This window comes from Homo sapiens, chromosome 2 (assembly GCF_000001405.40).
Source record: "Homo sapiens chromosome 2, GRCh38.p14 Primary Assembly".
Classification (NCBI taxonomy): Eukaryota; Metazoa; Chordata; class Mammalia; order Primates; family Hominidae; genus Homo; species Homo sapiens.
This window is the reverse complement of record NC_000002.12, coordinates 62,262,134-62,284,142: the sequence shown is the minus strand read 5'-3', so window position 1 is coordinate 62,284,142 and position 22,009 is coordinate 62,262,134. Positions and strand designations below refer to the sequence as shown.

Below are 22,009 nucleotides of genomic sequence, written 5' to 3'. Positions count from 1 at the left end.
TTGCTGAGGCTGAACTTGAACTCCTGGGCTCAAGCAATCCTCCCAACTCAGCATCCCAAGTAGCTGGGACTATAGGCATGTACCACCACACCTGGCTCTATCCTGGTTCTTTTATTTGTTCTTACACAAGCAACTCTTGCTGTTGCATCCAAATAAGAAATGCAGAAAAGCAAAAGGAAAACAATCAAAATCCTACCAACTGGCAAAGGATTGTGACATTTCTCCAAAGAAGATAAATGACCAATAAGGATATGAAAAGATGCTCATTGTCAGTCATGAGGGAAATGCAAATCAAAATGACAGTGAGATGTCATGTTACATCATCCATTAACAGGGTTGCTATTATAAAAATACAGAAAATGGGCCAAGCACGGTGGTTCACGCCTGTAATCCCAGCACTTTGGGAGGCCAAGGCAGGCAGATCATGAGGTCAGGAGATCGAGACTATCCTCGCTAACACAGTGAAGCCCCGTCTCTACTAAAAATACAAAAAAAATTAGCCAGGTGTGGTGGCAGGCACCTGTAGTCCCAGCTACTCAGGAGGCTGGGGCAGGAGAATGGCGTGAACCTGGGAGGCAGAGCTTGCAGTGAGTGGAGATGGCGCCATTGCACTCCAACCTGGGTGACAGAATGAGACTCCATCTCAAAAAAACAAAAAAAACAAAAAAACAGAAAATGGCAAGTGTTGGCAAGGATGTGGAGAAATTGGAAATCTCATATGTTGCTGATGGGAATGTAAAATGGTACAACTACTATGGAGAACAGTTTGAGGATTAGTCAAAAAATTAAACATAGAATTACTATATGATCCTGCAATTCCACTCCTAAGTATAAACCCAAAAGAATTGAAATATATGTTCACACAAAAGTTGTATTCAAGTGTTTATAGGAGCATTATTCATGATAGCCAAAAAGTACACACAACTCAAATGTCCATCATCTGATGAATGACTAAACAAAATATGGCAATGTAATATTATTTGGCAATAGAAAGGAATAAAGTACTGACATGCTACAATGTGGACGTGCCTTGAAGACATTATGTTAAAAGAACTCAGACATGAAAGGTCACATATTGTATGCTTCCATTTACATGAAGTGTCCAGAATAGGCAAATCTATAGAGACAGCATGTAGGTTAGTGGTTTCCAAGGACTTGAGAGAGAAGTGACTACGAATGGATATGGGGTTTCTTTATCAGGTTGTGAAAATGTTCTTTCAGGATGAAAATGGAATGAGACAGTGATGATCATTGCACAACTCCATGAATATACTAAAAAACACTGAATTGTATACATGAAAGCGGTGAAGTTTATGGTATGTGAATTGTATATCAATTAAAAGCACATCCTATCCACCGACCAATCATAAGCAATTAATATGAAGATAGACATTGTCTTCATCCATTTTATATTGCTATAACAGAATACGACAGACTGGGTAATTTATAATGAACAGAAATTTATTGGCTCACAGTTCTGGAGGGTGGGAAATACAAAATTGAAGGGCTGGCATCTGGTGAGAGTTTTCTTGCTGCATCATCCCATAGTGGAAGGTGAGAGAGTTAGAAAGAGACAAAAAGGGATTGAACTCATCCTTCTATAGGGAACCCACTCCAACAATAACGAACCCACTCCTGTGGTAATAGCATAAATCCATTCATGAGGACAGAACCTTCATGACCTAAACACCTTTTGAAGATCCCACCCCTCAACACCTCTACATTAGGGATTAAGTTTCTAACACATGAACTTTGGGGGATACATTCAAACCATAGCAGGCATATTTCCAGGTCCACATTAAACAAATAGGTACTTTTAGATATATATTATTCATATTATTTGTTAGCCTGCATTGTCACATTACATTTTTTGAATATCAATCTGTGTCGATAAATACAGATCTACATCGTCTACACTTATGGCTACATTATTCTCTTATATAGTTAAAGCAATTATTTAGCCAATTTATCATTGTTATTTATTTAGGCTGTTTCTAGTTTTCTGGTATTAATCAACAGCACCCTTGAATATTCTTTTTGGTTAACTTTTCTAATTATTCCCTTAAGATTCATTTCAAGAAAGAGGACTGGTGGATTTTTAAGATATTAAGAAATTGTCAAATTGGCCTCCAGAAGTATGTGGGATTTACCTTCCCACTCAGAAGGGTGAGGGAACACAAGCCCCTAAATCATCTTCAACACTAGACATTTTTACTTGTTTTCATCTTTGCTTCTTTGTAGGTGGAAAAGTGAAACCACATTCCTGTTTGATTTCTGACAGCTTTGGCTGCCTGCCTTTTCCTTCCTCACCAAGATGATTGGCTGCCGTGTTGTCCCACTTTATCTTCAAGAGCCCCCAGCCTTCCTGAGCCACCTTCTCTTTGGAGGGAGATCTGTATTTACCAAATATCTATGTATTTATTGAATATCTGTTTGATTTATTTTATTGTATATTGAATATTTTTATATTTATTTTAAATGATTAAATATCTGTATTGTTGTGTCCTAATTTACTCTTCACAATACCCTATGAGGTAGGTATGATACCCCTTGTACAGATAAGAAAACTGTCTCAGAGATCACTGAAGCTATAAGTGGCAGAACCAGAGTTCAAACCCAAGGCTGCCTCATTCTAAAGTCTCCACTCTTTCCGTTCAAACATGGGATCATGCCTTTGGCTATTTATCTTTCTCCTGACCTTTTTTGAAATCATTCTTCCTAATGTCTAGTGTGTATTGACTATACACATTTCACATGTTTTTCCCTAGATATTACGCATGAGCTCACTCCTCTTTCTCAGCCAGAATTCAGTTTCAAGCAACAATTCCCTTGATGCTCCCAAAATCTAAGAGGGCATTGAGACCCAAAACACAGATGCCCAGTCCCTGAAGCAAGTCCATCCAGACAAGTGGGCTTTGCCTCCCAAGACCACCTGGATGACTGTTATTGGAAACCAGCTTTAGCCAAGTACACAGAGTTGAAGGTGTCACAGAAACTGAGCACACAGAATCCACAGAAAAACAATGGAATTTCTTTTAACAGTGAGTTTTCATCTAAATTGTGCCCCAAAAATGTTGATTTTTCTGATGCAGTTGAAAATTTTCCAGAGCAACTCAATTCAAGATCAATGTGTGTGTAGTAAGAATTTGGCTCCTAAGACTAGAGTTCTTGCAAGTGAAATGAGAGCCTTGATGGCCGGTTTTCAAAGCTATTGCAGGGTAGAGGACTGAGCAGGTATAAGAGAGGTAGATTCTGATGTGATGAACAAACAATGTGTTCTCCTATCACAGGCTCACTTGATCTTCCAACAACATGTTAAGCCAACCTGTGTAGGTATTTTAGTCCCTCTTTGTAGGTTAAGAAATTAAGGATTAGGCCGGGCGTGGTGGCTCATGTCTGTAATCCCAGCACTCTGGGAGGCCAAGGCGGCGGATCACCTGAGGTCAAGAGGTCGAGACCAGCCTGGCCAACATGATGAAATCCCAACTCTACTAAAAATAAAAAATTAGCCAGTCATAGTGGTGTGCTCCTGTAGTCCCAGCCACTATGGAGGCTGAGGCAGGAGAATCGCTTGAGCCTAGGAGGCAGAGGTTGCATTGAGCCAAGATCACACCATTGCACTCCAATCTGGGCAACACGAGTGAAACTCCTCTGTCTCAAAAAAAAAAAAAGAAAAGAAAAGAAAGAAAGAAATTGAGAGTTAAAAGTAGCTTGAGATCTCCCTGCTGGTAACAAGTAGAGCCTGGTTAAAAATAGTTTGAAGGCTGGGCATGGTGGCCCACGCCTGAATTCCCAGCACTTTGGGAGGCCAAGGCGGGCAGATCACGAGGTCAAGAGATCAAGACCATCCTGGTTAACATGGTGAAACCCCATCTCTACTAAAAATACAAAAAATTAGCCAGGCATGGTGGCGGGCACCTGTAGTCCCAGCTACTCGGGAGGCTGAGACAGGAGAATGACGTGAACCCGGGAGGCAGAGCTTGCAGTGAGCCGAGATCACGCCACTGCACTCCAGCCTGGGCGACAGAGCATGATTCCGTCTCACAAAAAAACAAAACAAACAAACAAACAAACAAAAAACTAGCTTGAGATCTCCCTGATAGTAAGAGGTAGAGCCCAGATCTCAGATCTTCCACCAACCTGGGCCTTGGCTATAGTCCCCAGGCCTGTTCTCTTCATTAACTCACTTCCTGGCCCCGGGGCCTTTAATTTTGGAACACTCTTCTACTTAGTCTCTTCTTAGCACATTTCACCTTGTTCTGATTATCTGTTGCTGCAGAATAAACCACCCCAAGCTTAGCAACATAAAACAATCATTTTATTATGCTCCCAGATTCTGCGAGTTGAGCATTTGAACAGGGCACTCTTGGGTGTCTTTTCTCTGCACCATAGTGCCTGGGGCCTCAGCTAGGAAGATGCAAACAGGTAGGGGGTGACTCCAAAGGCTGGGTGCTGAAATCATCGAGAACTGCACTGTCCAGTACAGTAGCCACTAGTCACATGTGGCTATTTAAATGTGAATTAAAATTAAATGCAATTTAAAATTTAGTTACTAGGTGGCACTGATCACATTTTAAGTCTTGCTAGTCACATGTGGCTAGTGTCTACCATATTGGACAGTACAGATATTAAACATTTCCATCACTGTAAAAAGTTCTTTTGGAAAGGCTGCTCTGGAGGCTTCCTCACTCAAATGCCTGGTGCCTGGGCTGGCATAACTTGAAGGCTGGACTCAGCTGAGATCTTTGACTGGTTTTGGCTTCTCATACAATGGCTGCTAGAGAGAGTGTCCTAAGAGAAGCATCAGGAGAGTGAGAGTTCTAACAGATCAAAGCGGAAGCTCAAGGCTTCTTGTAATCTATCCTTGAGTCATGTGCATCACTTCTGCCACATTCTATTGGTTACATGCCAGTAGGGTTGCCAGATAAAATACAAATATTGCATGGGTGCATTAGGCTGTACTTGCATTCCTACAAAGAAATACAAAGAAAAGAGGTTTAACTGGCTTATGGTTCTGCAAGCTTTATAGGAAACATGGTGCCAGCATCTGCTCAGCATCTGAGGAGGCCTCAGGAAGCTTTTACTCATGGTAGAAGATGAAGCAGGAGCAGACACTTCATGGTAAAAGCGGGAGCAAGAGAGAGTGGGAGGTGAGGTGCCACACACTTTTAAATGACCAGATGTGTCAAGAACTCACTCACTATCTTGAAAACAGCACCAAGTCATGAGGGATCCATCCCCATGACCCAGATACCTCCCATCAGGCCCCACCTCCAGCACTGCAGACTACAATTCATCATGAGATTTGAGCAGGGACAGACATCCAAAATATATCATTCTACCCCAGCCCCTCCCAAATCTTGTGTCCTCACATTGTGAAATACAATCATGCCTTCCCAATAGTTCCCCTAAGTCTTAACTCATTCTAGCACTAACTCAAAAGTCCAAAGTCCAAATTCTCATCTGAGAAAAGGCAAGTCCCTTCCATCTGTGAACCTGTAAAATTAAAAACAAGTTATTTACTTCCAAGATACAATGGGGGCATAGGCATTGTGTAAATACTCCCATTCCAAAAGGGAGAAATCAGCCAAAAGAAAGGGACTACAGGGCCCATGCAAGTCCAAAACCTAGCAGGGCAGTCATTAAATCTTAAGGCTCCAAAATAATCTCCTTTGACTCCAAGTCCCACATCCAAGGCACACTGGTGCAAGGGCTGGGCTCTCAAGGCCTTGGGCAGCTCCACCTCTGTGGCTTTACAGGGTCCAGCCCCTGAAGCTGCTGTAACAGGTTGTTGAGAGCCTGCAGCTTTTCCAGGTACAATGCGCAAGCTGCTGGTGGATCTATCATTCTTGGATCTGGAGGGCATTGGCACCCTTCTCACAACTCCACTAGGCAGTGCCCCAGTGTAGACTGTGTGGGGGCTCCAACCCCACATTTCCCCTCCACACTGCCCTAGTAGATGTTCTCTGTGGGGCTCTGCCCCTGCAGTAGTCTTCTGACTGGGCACCTGGGCTTTTCTATACATCCTCTGAAATCTAGGTAGAGGGTGCCAAGCCTCATTCACTCTTGCACTCTGTGCACCCACAGGCTTAACACCATGTGGAAGCCACCAAGGCTTATAGAGACTTGTATTCTCCAAAGTGACAGCATGAGAAGTATCTGGGGCCCTTTGAGCCAAGGCTGGAGCTAGAGCAGCCAGGATGTGGAGAGGAGTGTCCCAAGGCTGCACAGAACAGCAGGACCCTGGGCCTGGCCCTCAGAACCATTTAGTCCTCCTAGGCCTCAGAGCCTGTGATGGGAGGGGCTGCCTGAAGGTCTCTGAAATGCCTTCAAGGCCTTTTTCCCATTGTCTTGGCTATTAACACTTGGCTCTTTTTCAGTCATGCAAATCTCTCTAGCAAGTGGTTGCTCCACAGCCTGCTTGAATTCCCCTCCGGAAAAAGCATTTTCTTTCTCTGCCACATGATCAGGCTGCAAATTTTCTCTATGCTCTGTCTCCCTTTTAAATATAGGTTCCAACTTTAAGTCATTTACTTGCTCCTACATTTGAGTGTAGCATAGGCTGTTAGAAGCCACCAGGCTACCTCTTGAATGCTTTGCTCCTTAGAAATTTCCTCTGCCACATACCCTAAATCATCTCTCTTTAATTCAAACTTCCACACATTCCTAGGGCATGAACAGAATGCAGCCAAGCTCTTTGCTAAGGCATAACAGGCACAACCTTTGCTTCAATTCCCAATAAGTTCCTCATTTCCATCTAAGACCTTGTCAGCCTGGATTTCTCTGTCCATATCACTATCAGCATTTTGGTCACAACCATTTAACCAGTCTCTAAGAAGTCCCAAACTTATCCTTATCTTCCTGTCTTTTTCTAAGCCCTCTAAATTCTTCCAACCTCTGCCTGGTACCCAGCTACAAAGCTGCTTTCACATTTTCAGGTATCTTTATAGCAATGCACCACTCCCAGTACCAATTGTCTGTATTAAGCCATTCTTGCATTACTATAAAGAAATACCTAAGGCTGGGTCACTTATAAGGAAAAACGGTTTGATTGGCTCAGGGTTCTGAGATTTTACAGGAAACATAGTTCTGGCATCTGCTTCTGGGGAGGCCTCTGGAACCTTCATTCATGGCACAAGATGAAGCAGGAGCAGGCACTTCACATGGTAAAAGTAAGAGCAAGAGAAAGTTGGAGGGAGGTGCCACACCCTTTTAAATGACCACATCTCTTGAGAACTCACTCACTATCACAAAGACATCACCAAGAAATGAGGGATCTGCCCCCACGACCCAAATACCTCCCACCAGGCCCCACCTCCAGCATTGCAGATTACAATTCAACAAGAGATTTGGGTGGGGACAAACATCCGAACTATATTAATGAGACATACTTATATAGAACAAATGCCATTTGTTGTTCATCTGAAATTCAAATTCAACTGGGCATCTTGCATTTTCATTTACCAAATCTGATAACCTCACATGGGAATCACTAAGGCCAGCCAGATTCAGTGGGAGAATTCAATCCACCTCTTGATGAGGGAATGACAAGGTCACATTGCAGAAAAGCATGGGGGATGGGAGACATTATGGCCATCTTTGGAAAATATAATCTGCCACATGTTGCCAAGGAGGTCCTCATAGAGTTAAGGTTAAAGACTTTCATGGCTCTCCATTACCTAAAAGATGACATTTAAGTTTCATGGCCTGAAGGAACAGAATTGCAAAAAAAGATCTGCTTTTATCTCTTTTTTCCTTCACTTTGAGCTTTGAGGAACCGTCCTCAGATAATAGGTCTAAATCCTATTGCCAATAGGCATTTGTCTCTGCCAGCTCTGTAACCAAAATTAACTATACATTAAGAAAAACAGCCTGTAATCCCAGCACTTTGGGAAGCCAAGGTGGGCAGATCACTTGAGGTCAGAAGTTCAAGACCAGCCTGGCCAACATGGTGAAACCCCATCTGTACTAAAAATACAAAAATTAGCTAGGCATGGTGGTGGGTGCCTGTAATCCCAGCTACTTTGGAGGCTGAGGCAGAAGAATCACTTGAACCTGGCAGGCAGAGGTTTAAATGAGCCGAGATTGCACCCCTGCACTACAGCCTGGACAACAGAGTGAGACTCAGTCTCAAAAAACAAATAAACAACAACAAAAACAGATAATCCACAGCACCATCATAGACCATGTTTCTTCTAAAGTAGGGCCTCCTGAAGTGACAGTATACTGGGGACATATTGAATAATCAGGGAACTTATGCGAGGGGCAAACGGCTTCCCATCTGTGGCTCCCAAAGGTCCAGCTTAGCAAGAGAGACTCCTGTGCACAGCTCCCTATAATCCAACATAAGGACACACTGAAGGAATGAGCAATGTTTCGTGAAGACAAAGATTAACCCCTCTCACCAACACTGAGCATGTGTATACTTTATATAACAGTTGAAGCTATCAGCTTGTTTGGAGATACAGGTGTTTATTAGCAGAATTTTCATGCTGCTAATAAAGATATACTCAAGACTGGGCAATTTACGAAAGAAAGAGGTTTAATGTACTTACAGTTGCACATGGCTGGGGAGGCCTCACAATCATGGCAGAAGGCAAGGAGGAGCAAGTCACATCTTACGTAGATGGCGGCAGGCAAAGAGAGAGAACCTGTGCAGGGAAACTCCTCTTTATAAAACCATCAGATCTCATGAGACTTATTCACTATCACGAGAACAGCATGAGAAAGAACCGCCCCCATGATTCAATTACCTCCCACTGGGTCCCTCCTACAACACATAGAGATTGTAGGAGTTACCATTCAAGCTGAGATTTAGGTACGACACAACTAAACTATGTCAGGCCTGCAAGGATGAGGCCAAGATTCTCCATGAAGGTGTGGTCAGTCCCAATGTCAAGCTCTAGACAGCCTGGAGAGGAGTATGTTCCCTCATTCTCACATTGCACCCAGGTGTTGAAATGTCCTCAGAACCCACAAGGGTGCTTTTCAGTGGACAGTGTTAAGATGGCATGCCCATGTGGAGACCAGTCACGAGCGACGAAACAAGGACATTTCCAAATCAAATGTGACTTTGATCTAATTAATCACTTCACTGAGACTTATGATGTATTCTGTGCTTCTTTTCCTTATTTTGGACATGTGTGAAGAGGGGGCTGGGACCAAGAGGGGAAACAGCAAGTTCATCATGAAATGTTAAGTGAAAATAGGTAGGATATTAAACTAGATCACAGACACGCACAGAGATATTAAACTAGATCATCATACACACACACACACACACACACACACACACATATATATATATATGCACATACACATACATTCTGTGATGGTTAATTTTATGTCTCAGTTTGACTGGGCTTAAGAATGTATAGCTAACTGGTAAAACATTCTCTCTGGGTGTGTCTGTGAGGATGTTTCTGGAAGAGATTAGCATCGGGATCAGCAGACTGAGTAAAGAAGATACCCTCACCAATGTGGGTGGGCATGATCCAATCTGTTGAGAACCCAAATAGAATGAAAAGGCGGAGGAAGGGCGAATTCATTCTCTCAGCTAAAGTTTGGATATCCATCTTCTCAGGCCCTCAGACATCAGTGCTTCCAGTTCTTAGGCCTTCGGACTTAGACTGGGACTTGAACCATCAGCCTCCCACTTCTTAGGCCTTCAGACTCTGACCAGGATACATGCCATCTGCCACACCCCACCCTCTACCCTGTTCTTAGGTCTTTGGATTAGAACTGGGACTTATACCATTGACTTCCCTGGTTCTCAGGCCTTTGGGCTTGGACTGGAACTACATCACCAACTCTCCTGGTGTCTGAGATAGGAAAAACCAAATCGCTTTTCCTACCCTCACACACTCACCACTCAATACAATACTTCACCTCTAGTCACCAAAATGTGTGTCATCAGCCAATTCTCCATCAGGTGCCAACTGGGTATATACAATTTAACTCAATTCTGACATTATCTACCTGGAGTTAGCATCAGACACCACAGGTTAAGGGCTCAGTCCCACAAGAAGTCCCAGGAGAGTGCCCCCACTTTAGATGCCAGTCACAAGTTCTCCAGGTTGTGACTGTATATCTGACCAACTGGCCATAAATTGGGAGTTTCCATGAATCCCTCCTCAGGTTCAATTAATTTGTTAGCATGGCTTACAAAACTCAGGGAAACTATTTATGTTTACCCATTTAATATAAAGGACCTTAAAAAGAACACAGAAGAACAACCAAAGAGAAGAGATGCATAGGGTGAGATATGCAGGAAGGGGCATGGAGCTTCTGTGCCCTTGTCAGCACGCAACCCTCTGGTACCTCCATGTGTTCAGCAACGGGGAAGCTCTCTGAATCCCATAGCTCAGGGATTTTTATGGCAGCTTTATCACATAGGCATGATTGATTATCGACTCAGTCTCCAGTCCTTCTCTCCTTCCCAGAGGATGGGGGTTGAAGCTGAAAGTTCCAAGCTTCTAATCATGGCTTGGTCTTTCTGGTGACCAACTCCCATCCAGAAGCCTACCAAGAGTCACCTCATTAGAACAAAAGATCCTCCTATCACCCAGGAATTCCAAGGGATTGGGGGCTCTGTGCCAGGAACCAGGCAGAGAGAACAAATATGTATTTCTTATTTTACCACAATGTCACAATCTACAGCTTACATATGGCAGATTATGGGACTTCTCAGCCTCCACAATCATGCGAACCAATCCGTCACAATATATATCTTACTATATATCCATATATATCATATTGGTTCAGACCGGGCGTGGCGGCTCACGCCTGTAGTCCCAGCACTTTGAGAGGCCGAGACGGGCACATCACTTAAGGTCAGGAATTCAAGACCAGCATGGCCAACATGTTGAAACTCCGTCTCTACTAAAAATAAAAAATTAGCCGGGCATGATGGTGAGCACTTGTGATCCCAGCTACTCAGGAGGCTGAGGCAGGAGAATTGCTTGAACCTGGGAGGCGGAGGCTGCAGTGAACCGAGATCATGCCACCGCACTCCAGCCTGGGCGACAGAGCAAGACTCTATCTCAAAAATAAATTAATTAATTAACATATATATCATATAGTTTCTGTTTCTTTGGTGAACCCTGACTAATACATACACACACTCACACACACACACACATACACACACATACGTGTTGATTTATTTTCTCTGTGTATTCTATATTCCCTTTAATTAGCAATGAGCATACATTACTTTTATAATAAGAAACATGAACATTATTTCAAAATGGAAAGAAAGAAGCAACAGACTACTCTTTTTTTTTTTTTTTTTAAAGACAAGGTCTCACTCTGTCACATAGGCTGGAGTGCAATGGCACCATCTCTAATTGCTGCAAACTCTGCCTCCAGAGTAGCTGGGACTACAGACACAAGCTACCACACCTGGCTAATTTTTGTAGAGACAGGGTTTCGCCATGTTGGCCAGGCTGGTCTCAAGCTCCCAGGCTCAAGCTATCCACCTGCCTCGGCCTCCCAAAGTGCTGGGATTACAGGCGTGAGCCACCGTACCCAGCCAAGCAACAGACTATTGATGGAATTCCAAGTTAAAGAGAACATAAACTAAAGAGGTATGAGTGCCAGTCATAGCTGATTACTTACCTAGCTGCCATTTCTTCTTCCTTCTTGTAGGCAGAAACCTGATTTGATTCAGGGTCAGTATGCACAACTGAAAAAGATTAATCATAATTAGTCCAAAGCTCATCCTCATTGTCAGTAATTGGTTGGTCTAAGGGTAGTCACATGACTTAGTTCTGGCTAGTAAAACACAAGTGGGGCCGGGCACGGTGGCTCACACCTGTAATCCTAGCACTTTGGGAGGCCGAGGTAGGCAGATTGCCTGAGCTCAGGAGTTTGAGACCAGCCTGGGCAACACAGTGAAACCCCATCTCTATTAAAATACAAAAAATACCAGGCATGGTGGCGTGCACCTGTAGTCCCAGCTACTCAGGAGGCTGAGGCAGAAGAGTTGCTTGAACCTGGGAGGTAGAGGTTGCAGTGAGCCAAGATCATACCACTGCACTCCAGCCTGGGCCACAGAGCGAGACTCTGTCTCAAAACACACACACACACACACACACACACACACACACACACACACACAAGTGGACACCTACTCATGGCTGTTAGGGAAGATTTTACTCATTCGTTAAAAATAAGAAAGAGAAAGAATCACAAGAGGAAAAGGTCCACTATATCCTCCTCCTTAACCATCTTGTTAAGGTGTTGTCATGTGAAGACAATACTCAGTGCTACAGCAGCCATCTGATGACCGCCAAGGAGATTTGTCAACATGCCAAGATGGCAGAAAAAAAAGTGAGAAGGCTTCTGGTCTCCAACGACACTATTGAGCCACCTAATTAACCCCAAAACTGCCCACTACTAACCAGACTTGTTATACAAAATAACTGTATTGTTTGTTTGTTTGTTTGTTTTGAGACATGGTCTCACTCTGTTGCCCAAGCTGTGGTGTGATCACAGCTCACTGCAGCCTCAACCTCCCAGGCTCAAGCGATCCTCCTGCCTCAAGCTCCTGAGTAGCTGGGACCACGGGCACATGCCACCATGCATGGCTAAGTTTTTTTATTTTTTATAGAGATAAGGTCTCACTTTGTTGCCCAGGCCGGTCTCGAACTCCTGGACTCAAGCAATCCTCCTGCCTCAGCCTCCCAAGGTGCTGGGATTACAGGCATGAGCCACCATGCCCAGCCCAATAACTGTATATTGTTGAAGCTATTTTGGTTGATATTATATTACCTGTGGCCAAATACGTCCCCAAAAATGTTCACTATCAGGAGACAAGGTTACTAACCAAGAGTTAAGGACATATTCAGATGGTTGAAGGCACAAGAAGAGGTAGGCATACTGAGTGGAACAGGTTAGACATGATATTCAAGATATTTAACAGCTGGTCCCTCATGGGCACAAAATACTCTGAAAGGGGACCAGCCCAGTCAGAATGGACCCCAGTTATAAATGATATGCCCATGCCAATGTATCCTAGCTGAATATCAGCCTTAGGGTAGTTACAAAAGACAAAACAGGGGGGTCAATTAACCCTATGTTTGGGGATAAATTTTCTTGGACCAGATTCCACCTACAATGTGCCTCTTTTGAAAGTCCTGCTTCTACCTTCTGAAGCCAAGCCTCTAACAGCTTTAAGCAGATCCGTGGCTGGCTCACTGCCAAAGACAGCGCCTGGAAGTTGGCAGTTTACACTGTGAACTGATATTAATGTTTTTGCTATGGTGGTAGTGGTTTTGAACTTTCTTTTTAAATTGAAAGAGTAATACATGATCTTGGTATAAAAATACAAACTTTAAAGAGAAGCATAAAATAAAAAGTAAGTCTCCCTTCCGTCCTGGTACTCCCAGCCTCATTCCCCAGAGGTACCTTATTAAAAATTTGTTGCATACACTTGCATAAATTTTCTGTATTTACACAAACGTATATATGCGTATATTTTTCAACACACACACAGGAGCCTACTTAGAAATGTTTATGTACTTTGCTATTCCTATTCACTATTTCTTTTCTTTTTTTTTTTGAGACGGAGTCTCGCTCTGTCGCTCAGGCTGGAGTGCGGTGGCGCGATCTCGGCTCACTGCAAGCTCCGCCTCCCGAGTTCGCACCATTCTCCTGCCTCAGCCTCCACAGTAGCTGGGACTATAGGTGCTTGTGACCACGCCCGGCTAATTTTTTGTACTTTTTAGAAGACACGGGGTTTCACCGTGTTAGCCGGGATGGTCTCTATCTCCTGACCTCGTGATCCGCCTGCCTCGGCATCCCAAGGCAGAGGGATTACAGGCCTGAGCCACCGCGCCCGACTCCTATTCACTATGTCTTAGATCTTAGTCCATATCTGCATATAAATCCACTTCTTTTTATTTACAACTGCATAGTATTTTATTGTATGGATGTAACATAATTTATTTAATGAGTCCTCTATTGATTAACATTTAGGGTGTTCACTATTACAAACAATGCTGCGATAAACACTGTATCAATTAGTGTTTTAGAATGAAAATAACAGAACACCCAACTATAAGTAAACCATAAGGATTTATTATCTTACATAACAAGAGATCTACAGCTAGGTGGTCCCAGGATGAGTTAATTTAGTGGTCCAACAATGTCATTAAGGGACCAAGTGTTTTCCATATTTCTCGTGCCATCTTCAGAGTGTTTGATTTTTTGCCCTGGGTTTGGAAGTAAGATAGCATGTACTGTCCCAGTCATCCCATCATGATTCAGTTCCGTTCAAAGACAAGAAATCAATTCCTCCTCGCACATCTCTTTTTCTCAGGGAGGAAAACTTTTCCCAGAAGCCCTGCCACAGACTTCCCTTCACAAATCATTAGCTAGAACATACCCATCCATAAACCAATCACTGTTAAAGAGGGAAATAATTACTCTTATTGGCTTATACCAGTTAAGATTAATCCCTGGAGCTATGGAAGAACATGCTTTTCCTGATCACCGAACATCCTGATACCTGAAGAAACTCAAGGTCCTTGGCAAGAAGAAAGGATGAAATGTCTATTGGGTAGCAACCAAGAGGGTCTTCTACAAATACCATCTTTGTGTATATACGCAAGTATATGCATAGGACAAAGTCCTTGAAATAGACTTGCTGGATCAAAAGAGTATGTTCATTTTAAATGTTGATGGGCATCAGTGGATGAGTGGTGTATTCATTCATTTTCATCCTGCAATGAAGAAATAACTTGGACTGGGTAATTTATAAAGAAAGATAGGTTTGGCCGGGCACAGTGGCTCACGCCTGTAATCCCAGCCCTTTGGGAGGCCAAGGTGGGCAGATCACCTAAGGTTGGGAGTTGGAGACCAGCCTGACCAACATGGAGAAACCCTATCTCTACTAAAAATACAAAATTAGCCAGGTGTGGTGGTGCATGCCTGTAATCCCAGCTACTCGGGAGGCTGAGGCAGGAGAATCCCTTGAACTTGGGAGGCAAAAGTTGTGATGAGCTGAGATAGAGCCATTGCACTCCAGCCTGGGCAACAAGAGTGAAACTCTGTCTCAAAACAAAACAAAACAAAAAAGAGGTTTAATGGACTCACACATGGCTGGGGAGGCCTCACAAACGTGGCAGAAGGTGAAGGAGGAGCAAAAGCACGTCTTACATGGTGGCAGGCAAGAGAACATGTGCAGGGGAACTGCCCTTTATAAAATCATCAGATCTTGTGAGACTAATTCACTATCACAAGGACAGCATGGGGAAAACCCACCCCGGTGATTCAATTACCTTCTACTGGGTCCCTCCCACGACATGTGGGGATTATGGGAGCTACAATTCAAGATGAGATTTGGGTGGGGACACAGCAAAACCATATCAAATGGATAAACAAAATGTGGTATATACATAAAAGGGAATATTCAGCCTTAAAAAGAAATGAAATTCAGACACATGCAACAACATGGACAGACTGAAGATATTATACCAAGTGAAATAAGCCAGATACAAAAGGACAAATATTGTACATTTCCATTTACATGAGTAGAATAGTTAAATTCATACAGACGAAAAGTAGAATAGTGACTGCCAATGGTTGTGGGGGGAAGAAATTGGGAAGATGAAAAAGTTCTAGAGATGGATGATGGTAATAATAGCACAACAATATCAATGTGCATAATATTATTGAACCATATGCTTAAAATGGTTAAAATGGTAAATTTTAAGTTATGTATAAATTTACCACAATTAAAAAAATAATGTTGCTAGATATTGCAAAAATGTCCCAAAGAGATTTTAACATTTAACTCTCTCACCCCTAGTGGATAGGGCAGTGCCTGGGTTCCCTATAATGTTTTGACTCCAGTGCAAACTCAAGGGTCCCCAAGTGGTAGCCAAGAAGTCCCCAAGGTCCCCAAGAAGCCAAGGGTCCCCAAGAAGGTATTGATGGATATAAGAGACCAGCAGTCCCTTTATTAGATCAGTAGCAGAAAAATCTGGTTTTAGAAGTAAAAGAAGACTCCCCAGGAGGGGAGGGATGAGAAGGCAGTCTTCTTTTTATTTCTTGAGTTTCAACTATCCCTCTTTCCCTTTATTACTTCTACCCTATCATGGTGGCTCCAAGACTCTGTTGCTCCCCTTTAGCTCTGTGAGTTAAGTGAGGACAATAATCTAGTCCCCTGCTTACCCTTAAGAAAAATCATCCAAAAATTGGAAATTCAGCACAAAGATTGCCGCATGCCCTCTCAAAGCCACATGACTGACTATTGTGTAACAACCTTCGTAACACTCATCTGATTTTCTAAGGGATATAACTTCATTTGACCTACTTATTATTTTTTTAAATAGAGACAAGGTCTTGCTTTGTTATCCAAGCTGAAGTGCAGTGGCAAAATCATAGCTCACTGCAGCCTTGGACCCCTGGGCTCAAGTGATCCTCCCACCTTGGCCTCCCAAAGTGTTGGGATTACAGGCGTGAGCCACTGTGCCTGGCATCTTGACTTACTATTTACAGTTGATCAGGCTAGGTTCTGAAAAGCTAGATTTAATCTATAAAATATTAATACATTTTGCAAAGTTTTTTTTTTTTTTTTTTTCTGGTGGAGAGGTAAATGATTTCTCTCTGGTAGAAAAGATAAGCCCAAAGGTTACAGTTATTGCTCTGTCAGGACCTTTTTTGTATCTGACTCTGCCGTCTTTCTGCATTCTTCTTTTCACCAACTACATATAACCTTTGAACTGGTGTTGCCATCTTGCTGCTGTCATAATCAGTGAGCTAAACACATCTTTGACAAGGGCTCACTTATGTTATATTCTTCACTATTTGAAAATTATATTTGACATCCTTAACACAGTTGTAGCAGGCTTTCAAAATGACTTTGCTAAATATGAAAGAATGGGAATAAACAGAAGAAATTTTAAAAGTATAAAAAAACCATCTCATCCATCCAGCTGCCCACTCACACCCTCAGACATCTCTAAAGTTAGACCATGAAGCAGATCAGAATTTGCTCTGAAGCCATTTTGAAATCTGGGGTTTGACTTTTCCACCAGAGGATGGGCAGGACTGTCGAGGATAGCTGTGGGCATGTCCTCCCTCTTCTGGATCCCCCTACTGCCCCCCCAACCCCCCACCCCCGTCCCCTACTTGGATGGGACTTGATCTCTTCCAGTGCCCAAGAGTACAACCGCACCCTTACTCCTTAACGTGACTCAGATCTGACAGCTGGGAAATCCTCAGCCTCAGCAAGTTGCCCTTTCTGTTAACCTTTGCATCTAAATAGCTCAAGCTATGCATTCCTGGGGTTTTGTTCTGGTGGCCAGCTCCCATTCCCATTTCCTATTCCCACTGAATTCCTGTGCTTTGCACTGTGGCTGTTCCCTTCTCTTGGTCCTACCACTGGACCCTAGATCCCTCTTGATTTCTTGGAGCCGTAACTTGCCCAAAGCAGCTGTGTGCAGCAGATCTCTATACAGCTTTGGAGAGACGTTCCTCCCAACACTGCACAGCCACCATTTTCACATTGACTGCTAGAATCCAGAAGCATCCCTGCCATTTTGGATGTTTTGCTGGCTCTCCCTTCTCAGGCCTCACACTGGGCTACCTGCACATTAAGTCAGCCCCTCCACTTTCCTTCCTCTAAACCAAGCTTGTCAAACCCGTGGCCCAGGATGGCTTTGAATGTGGCCCAACACAAATTCGTAAACTTTCTTTTTTTTTTTTTTCCTTCAAGAACCGAACAGCAGTGAAAATGTTCATAAAATTTCTTAAAACATTATGTGGTTTTTTTTTTTTTTGAGTTTCTTTTTAAGTTCATCAGCATCATTAGTGTTAGTGTATTTTATATGTGGCCCAAGGCAATTCTTCTTCTAATGTGGCCCAGAGAAGCCAAAAGATTGGACACCCCTGCAAACCTTTCCACAGTCCCTCCCTTCTCTTCCCTGACCCTCTTTCCAGAACCATCTCCAGGAATTCAATATTCATCCTACCTTACTGGGCAGGACAATTCAAAATTATCTCCCAAAGGTCTCACATCCAAATACCCTCTTTGTGCAGCCCATTCTGCCCCGAAGCTGAGTCTCACCGTCAGCAACCCTAGGGGCCAGCAAGGTAATTTTCTAAACTAAGAACCATTTCCCCTCAACGTAAGACATTTCTCTTAGTAAGAAGTAAAATGTTCTCCCACTACACGTGAAAGAACAATACAAATATATGGCAAAATGGAGGAAGAGAAGAAGAATTTTTTTTTTTTTTAGTGTCACGTAGCTCCCTGGGAAACTGCCTTTAATTCACCATATTTATACTCTCTCTCAGAGCCCCAGAAAGACCTGGATTAAGAATTTCCCACGGCGAGGCACTGTGGCTCGCACCTATAACCCCAGCACTTTGGAAGGCCAAGGCAAGAGGATCACGTGAGGTCAGGAGTTTAAGACCAGCCTGGCCAACATGGTGAAACCCCCTCTCTACTAAAAATACAAAAATTAGCTGGGCGTGGTGGTGTGCACCTGTAATCCCAGCTACTCGGGAGGCTGAGGCATGGGAATTGCTTGAACCCAGGAGGTGGAGGTTGCAGTAAGCCAAGATCGCACCACTGCACTCCAGCCTGGGTGACAGACTGAGGCTCTGTCTCAGGAAAAAAAAAAAGAATTTCCCTCTAGGGAAGATGAGGTTTTCCCAAAGGCAAGGCAAACCTTTTTGGCACAGGTAATTTGTGTCCTAGTCCACTCATGTAGTCTAAGGGCTCTTAGCTGGGGACCCTCGGGAGACGCTGTCAGCAGCTACCGCAGTAGTCAGTACTGAAGCAGCTGCATGAAACTTGCTGAGGCAACAAAATGCCCCTGCAGTGGGTGTCAATTCATCATCCCCACTTTTCAGCCGGCAAAGAAATCCAGAAACAGTTAAACTGCATGTTGCAATTTCTTAAAATAGAACTTCCTAGTTTTAAGTTTCATCAAGCCTTCCATTGGTTTTACAGTATTATGCTTATGTCCTTCCCTCTCACATTGATTCTCCTTTTAATTATATTTTCTTCCTTTTTTTTTTTCTTTTTCACATCAGATGGATAATGTGCCGATGCCATAACAAGGTTTGAGGGAGGCACAGCTCACATGGGAACGCGAAAACCCAGGCATGATGCTTATGAACTACAGAAGGATCACATTGTCCCAGTGTTCACACTACTTTTAGGAGATTGCCCTCTGTGTGGAAAAGCTGGCCTAAGAAAGCTCTATGTTAACTTTGTTGCTGACTTTGATACTGGGGGCCACCAGACTGTAATTAGTCAATTTGGGCTGTTGTAACAAAATACTATAGGCTGAGTGTTTAAACAGGAATTTACTTCTCATAGTTCTGGAGGCTGGAAGTCTAAGATCAAGGTGCCAGCAAGTAGGTTTCATTCTGAAGCCTCTTCTCTTGGCTCACAGGCAGCCATCATCTTGCTGTGGGCTCACATGACCTCTTTGTGGTAGGAGAGCAAACTCTCTGGTGCCTCTTCTTATAAAGACCCCAATCTCATTATGAAGGCCCCACCCTCATGAGCTCATCTAACTCTATCTCCAAAAGAAAATACTACCGTATTGGGGGTTAGAGCTTCAACATGTGAATTTGGGGTGGGGGGGGTATAATTCAGTCCACAGCATAGGGTCTGTTTCCCAGTCTCAGCCTTTGGGGCAGTATCTTCAATTTCCAATCACATGATGTGAATTGACAACCAAGACCACAAGTTATGACTTAAACTCCACAAAGTTTCCCTCTTACATTCCATTACTAGAAACAAGGAAGCATTTTAAAAACTATTACCCTAGTTTTTTGCAGTCCTCTTAAAATACTTCACCAGATAGTAGATAGCAGCATTCTTTTGTATTTTGAAGTTTCTGCAGCATGGTCTTCTAAAGAAAAAGAGCTTCAGGCCAGGCGCAGTGGCTCATGCCTGTAATCCCAGCACTTTGGGAGACCAAGGCGGGCAGATCACCTGAGGTCAGGAGTTCGAGACCAGCCTGGCCAATATGGTGAAACCCCATCTCTACTGAAAATACAAAAAAAAAATTAGCAGGTGGGCCAGGTGCGGTGGCTCACTCCTGTAATCCCAGCACTTTAGGAGGCTAAGGCAGGCAGATCATGAGGTCAGGAGTTTGAGACCAGCCTGGCCATCATAGTGAAACTCCATCTCTACTAAAAATACAAAAAATTAGCCAGGCATGGTGGCGGGCGCCCATAATCCCAGCTACTCAGGAGGCTGAGGCAGGAGAATTGCTTGAACTCGGGAGGCAGAGGTTGCAGTGAGTCGAGATTGTGCCACTGCACTCCAGCCCGGGCGACAGTGCAAGACTCCATCTCAAAAAAAAAAAATGAGCCAGATACGGTGGCGGGTGCCCGTAATCCCAGCTACTCAGGAGGCTGAGGCAGGAGAATCGCTTGAACCCAGGACGGAGAGGTTGCAGTGAGCCAAGGTAGTGCCATTGCACTCCAGCCTGGGCAACAGGAACAAAAACTCAGTCTCAAAAAAAGAGAAAAAAAAAAAAAGAGCTTCATACTAGATAAAGGACGAAGATGACAGTAATTTCCTCTTTGTCACGATCTAAAAACATCACAAAATGCTACATGTTAAAATACATTAAAAATACACGACTTTCTTTCCACCTTTTGATATTTTCATTTATGAGCTATGATTCATAAGAATGCTCTGTCACTGGAAAAGCACAAAAATCAAATTCACTGTGGCATGTTTACGATTACTACTAGAAAAATATATGGTGTTGATTCTCTAGGTGATTCTTATTCCTTTGGTCTTTTTCTTCTTTCCTCTTCCCTGTGTTGTTACAGTGTTGATTGTACAATCATTTACAGAACAATAGTAAATAATGTCAGCAAACATTTGGGGAATTCTTAACATGTGCCAGCCACTTGCCAAGTGTACATTCCCTCTCTCTTTTAATCCTCCCGAAAGCCTCATGAGGTAGATATTATTATCCATGAAACACAAAAAATATTAAATGTTAAGTACGTATAATTGTCTCCCTGCTCTTCAATTTCTAAGAAGGTAGATTCCTTGGAGGGTTCTTTATTTTACTTGATGGGGTGCTGCTGGGGACAGGACGTGGAAAAGTGAAGGGAGAGAGAGAAGCCTAAATTAGAATAAAGAGATGAAGGCCCGGAAGGGCTGCGGGAGGGGGGCAGATTAAGGGGTGGAAGAGGAGAGTAAGGAGAAAGTGAAGGCAAAGATGAGGAGCTGGGAGGAACCTGGCAAGGGCTGGCAGGCTCAAGAGGAGGGGAAGGTGTCATGGCCACAACAGAGGGGAGGCGGATTTGTGTGGAAATAGTGGGACATTTGGAGAGGATTTTTCAAAGTTCTGGTACGTGAAGTATCACTTACTCTTTCTTCCATATCTCCAGGAAAATCTCAGCATTGAATCTGCCATATTTTATCTAATCCAAGATGTGAATGACTGTAAGATAGAATCGATGGCAAGATACATCATTTTTGGGCATGGTAGTACATACCTGTAGTGCCATTACTCGGGAGGCCGAGAGAGGATGATCTCACAAAGCCCAGGAGTTCTGGGATATAGTGTGCTATGCTGATTGGATGTCTGCATTAAGTCTGGCATCAATGTGGTCACCTCTCAGGAGCAGAGGACCACCAGGGTGTCTAAGGAGAGGTGAACCCAGGTTGGAAACAGAGCAGGTAAAAATTCCCATGCTAATCAGTAGTGGGATGATGCCTATGAATAAACACGCACCCCAGCCTGGAAAACTCATCTCTTTAAAAAAAAAAAAAAAGACACATCATATTTTAGGAAGGAAGAAAGGTATGAAGGAAGAGAATCACCAATTACAAGCGCCCATCAGTTCAAAATGTGTCCCAATTTCAAAGAAATACAATATATTATACTTTAATCCTTTCACAGTCAGATTTATATCTTTTTGTTTTGTTTTTTAATGTGTCATTATCTGGCAAGGCCAGATCTGAGCTGCCCAGGAAGGGTCTGTTATACTTCAGTTACACCCGTTTTACAAA

The 22,009-nt window shown here is 43.3% G+C and overlaps 1 long non-coding RNA gene, 1 other non-coding gene and 1 pseudogene across 2 annotated transcripts; 1 reads left to right on the top strand and 2 right to left on the bottom strand.

Moving 5' to 3' along the window:
- Window positions 1-7,296: 7,296 nt before the first annotated feature.
- LOC105374761 (uncharacterized) lies at window positions 7,297-19,918 on the bottom strand. The gene is made up of 3 exons (XR_940140.3): window positions 19,792-19,918; window positions 11,620-11,686; window positions 7,297-8,651 (listed from the first exon to the last, which is right to left on the bottom strand). It is a non-coding gene; the product is annotated as an uncharacterized LOC105374761 (long non-coding RNA).
- Window positions 19,045-19,148, bottom strand: LOC124906156 (small nucleolar RNA U13). The gene has a single exon (XR_007088745.1). It is a non-coding gene; the product is annotated as a small nucleolar RNA U13 (small nucleolar RNA).
- Window positions 21,472-21,756, top strand: RN7SL51P (RNA, 7SL, cytoplasmic 51, pseudogene; annotated as a pseudogene).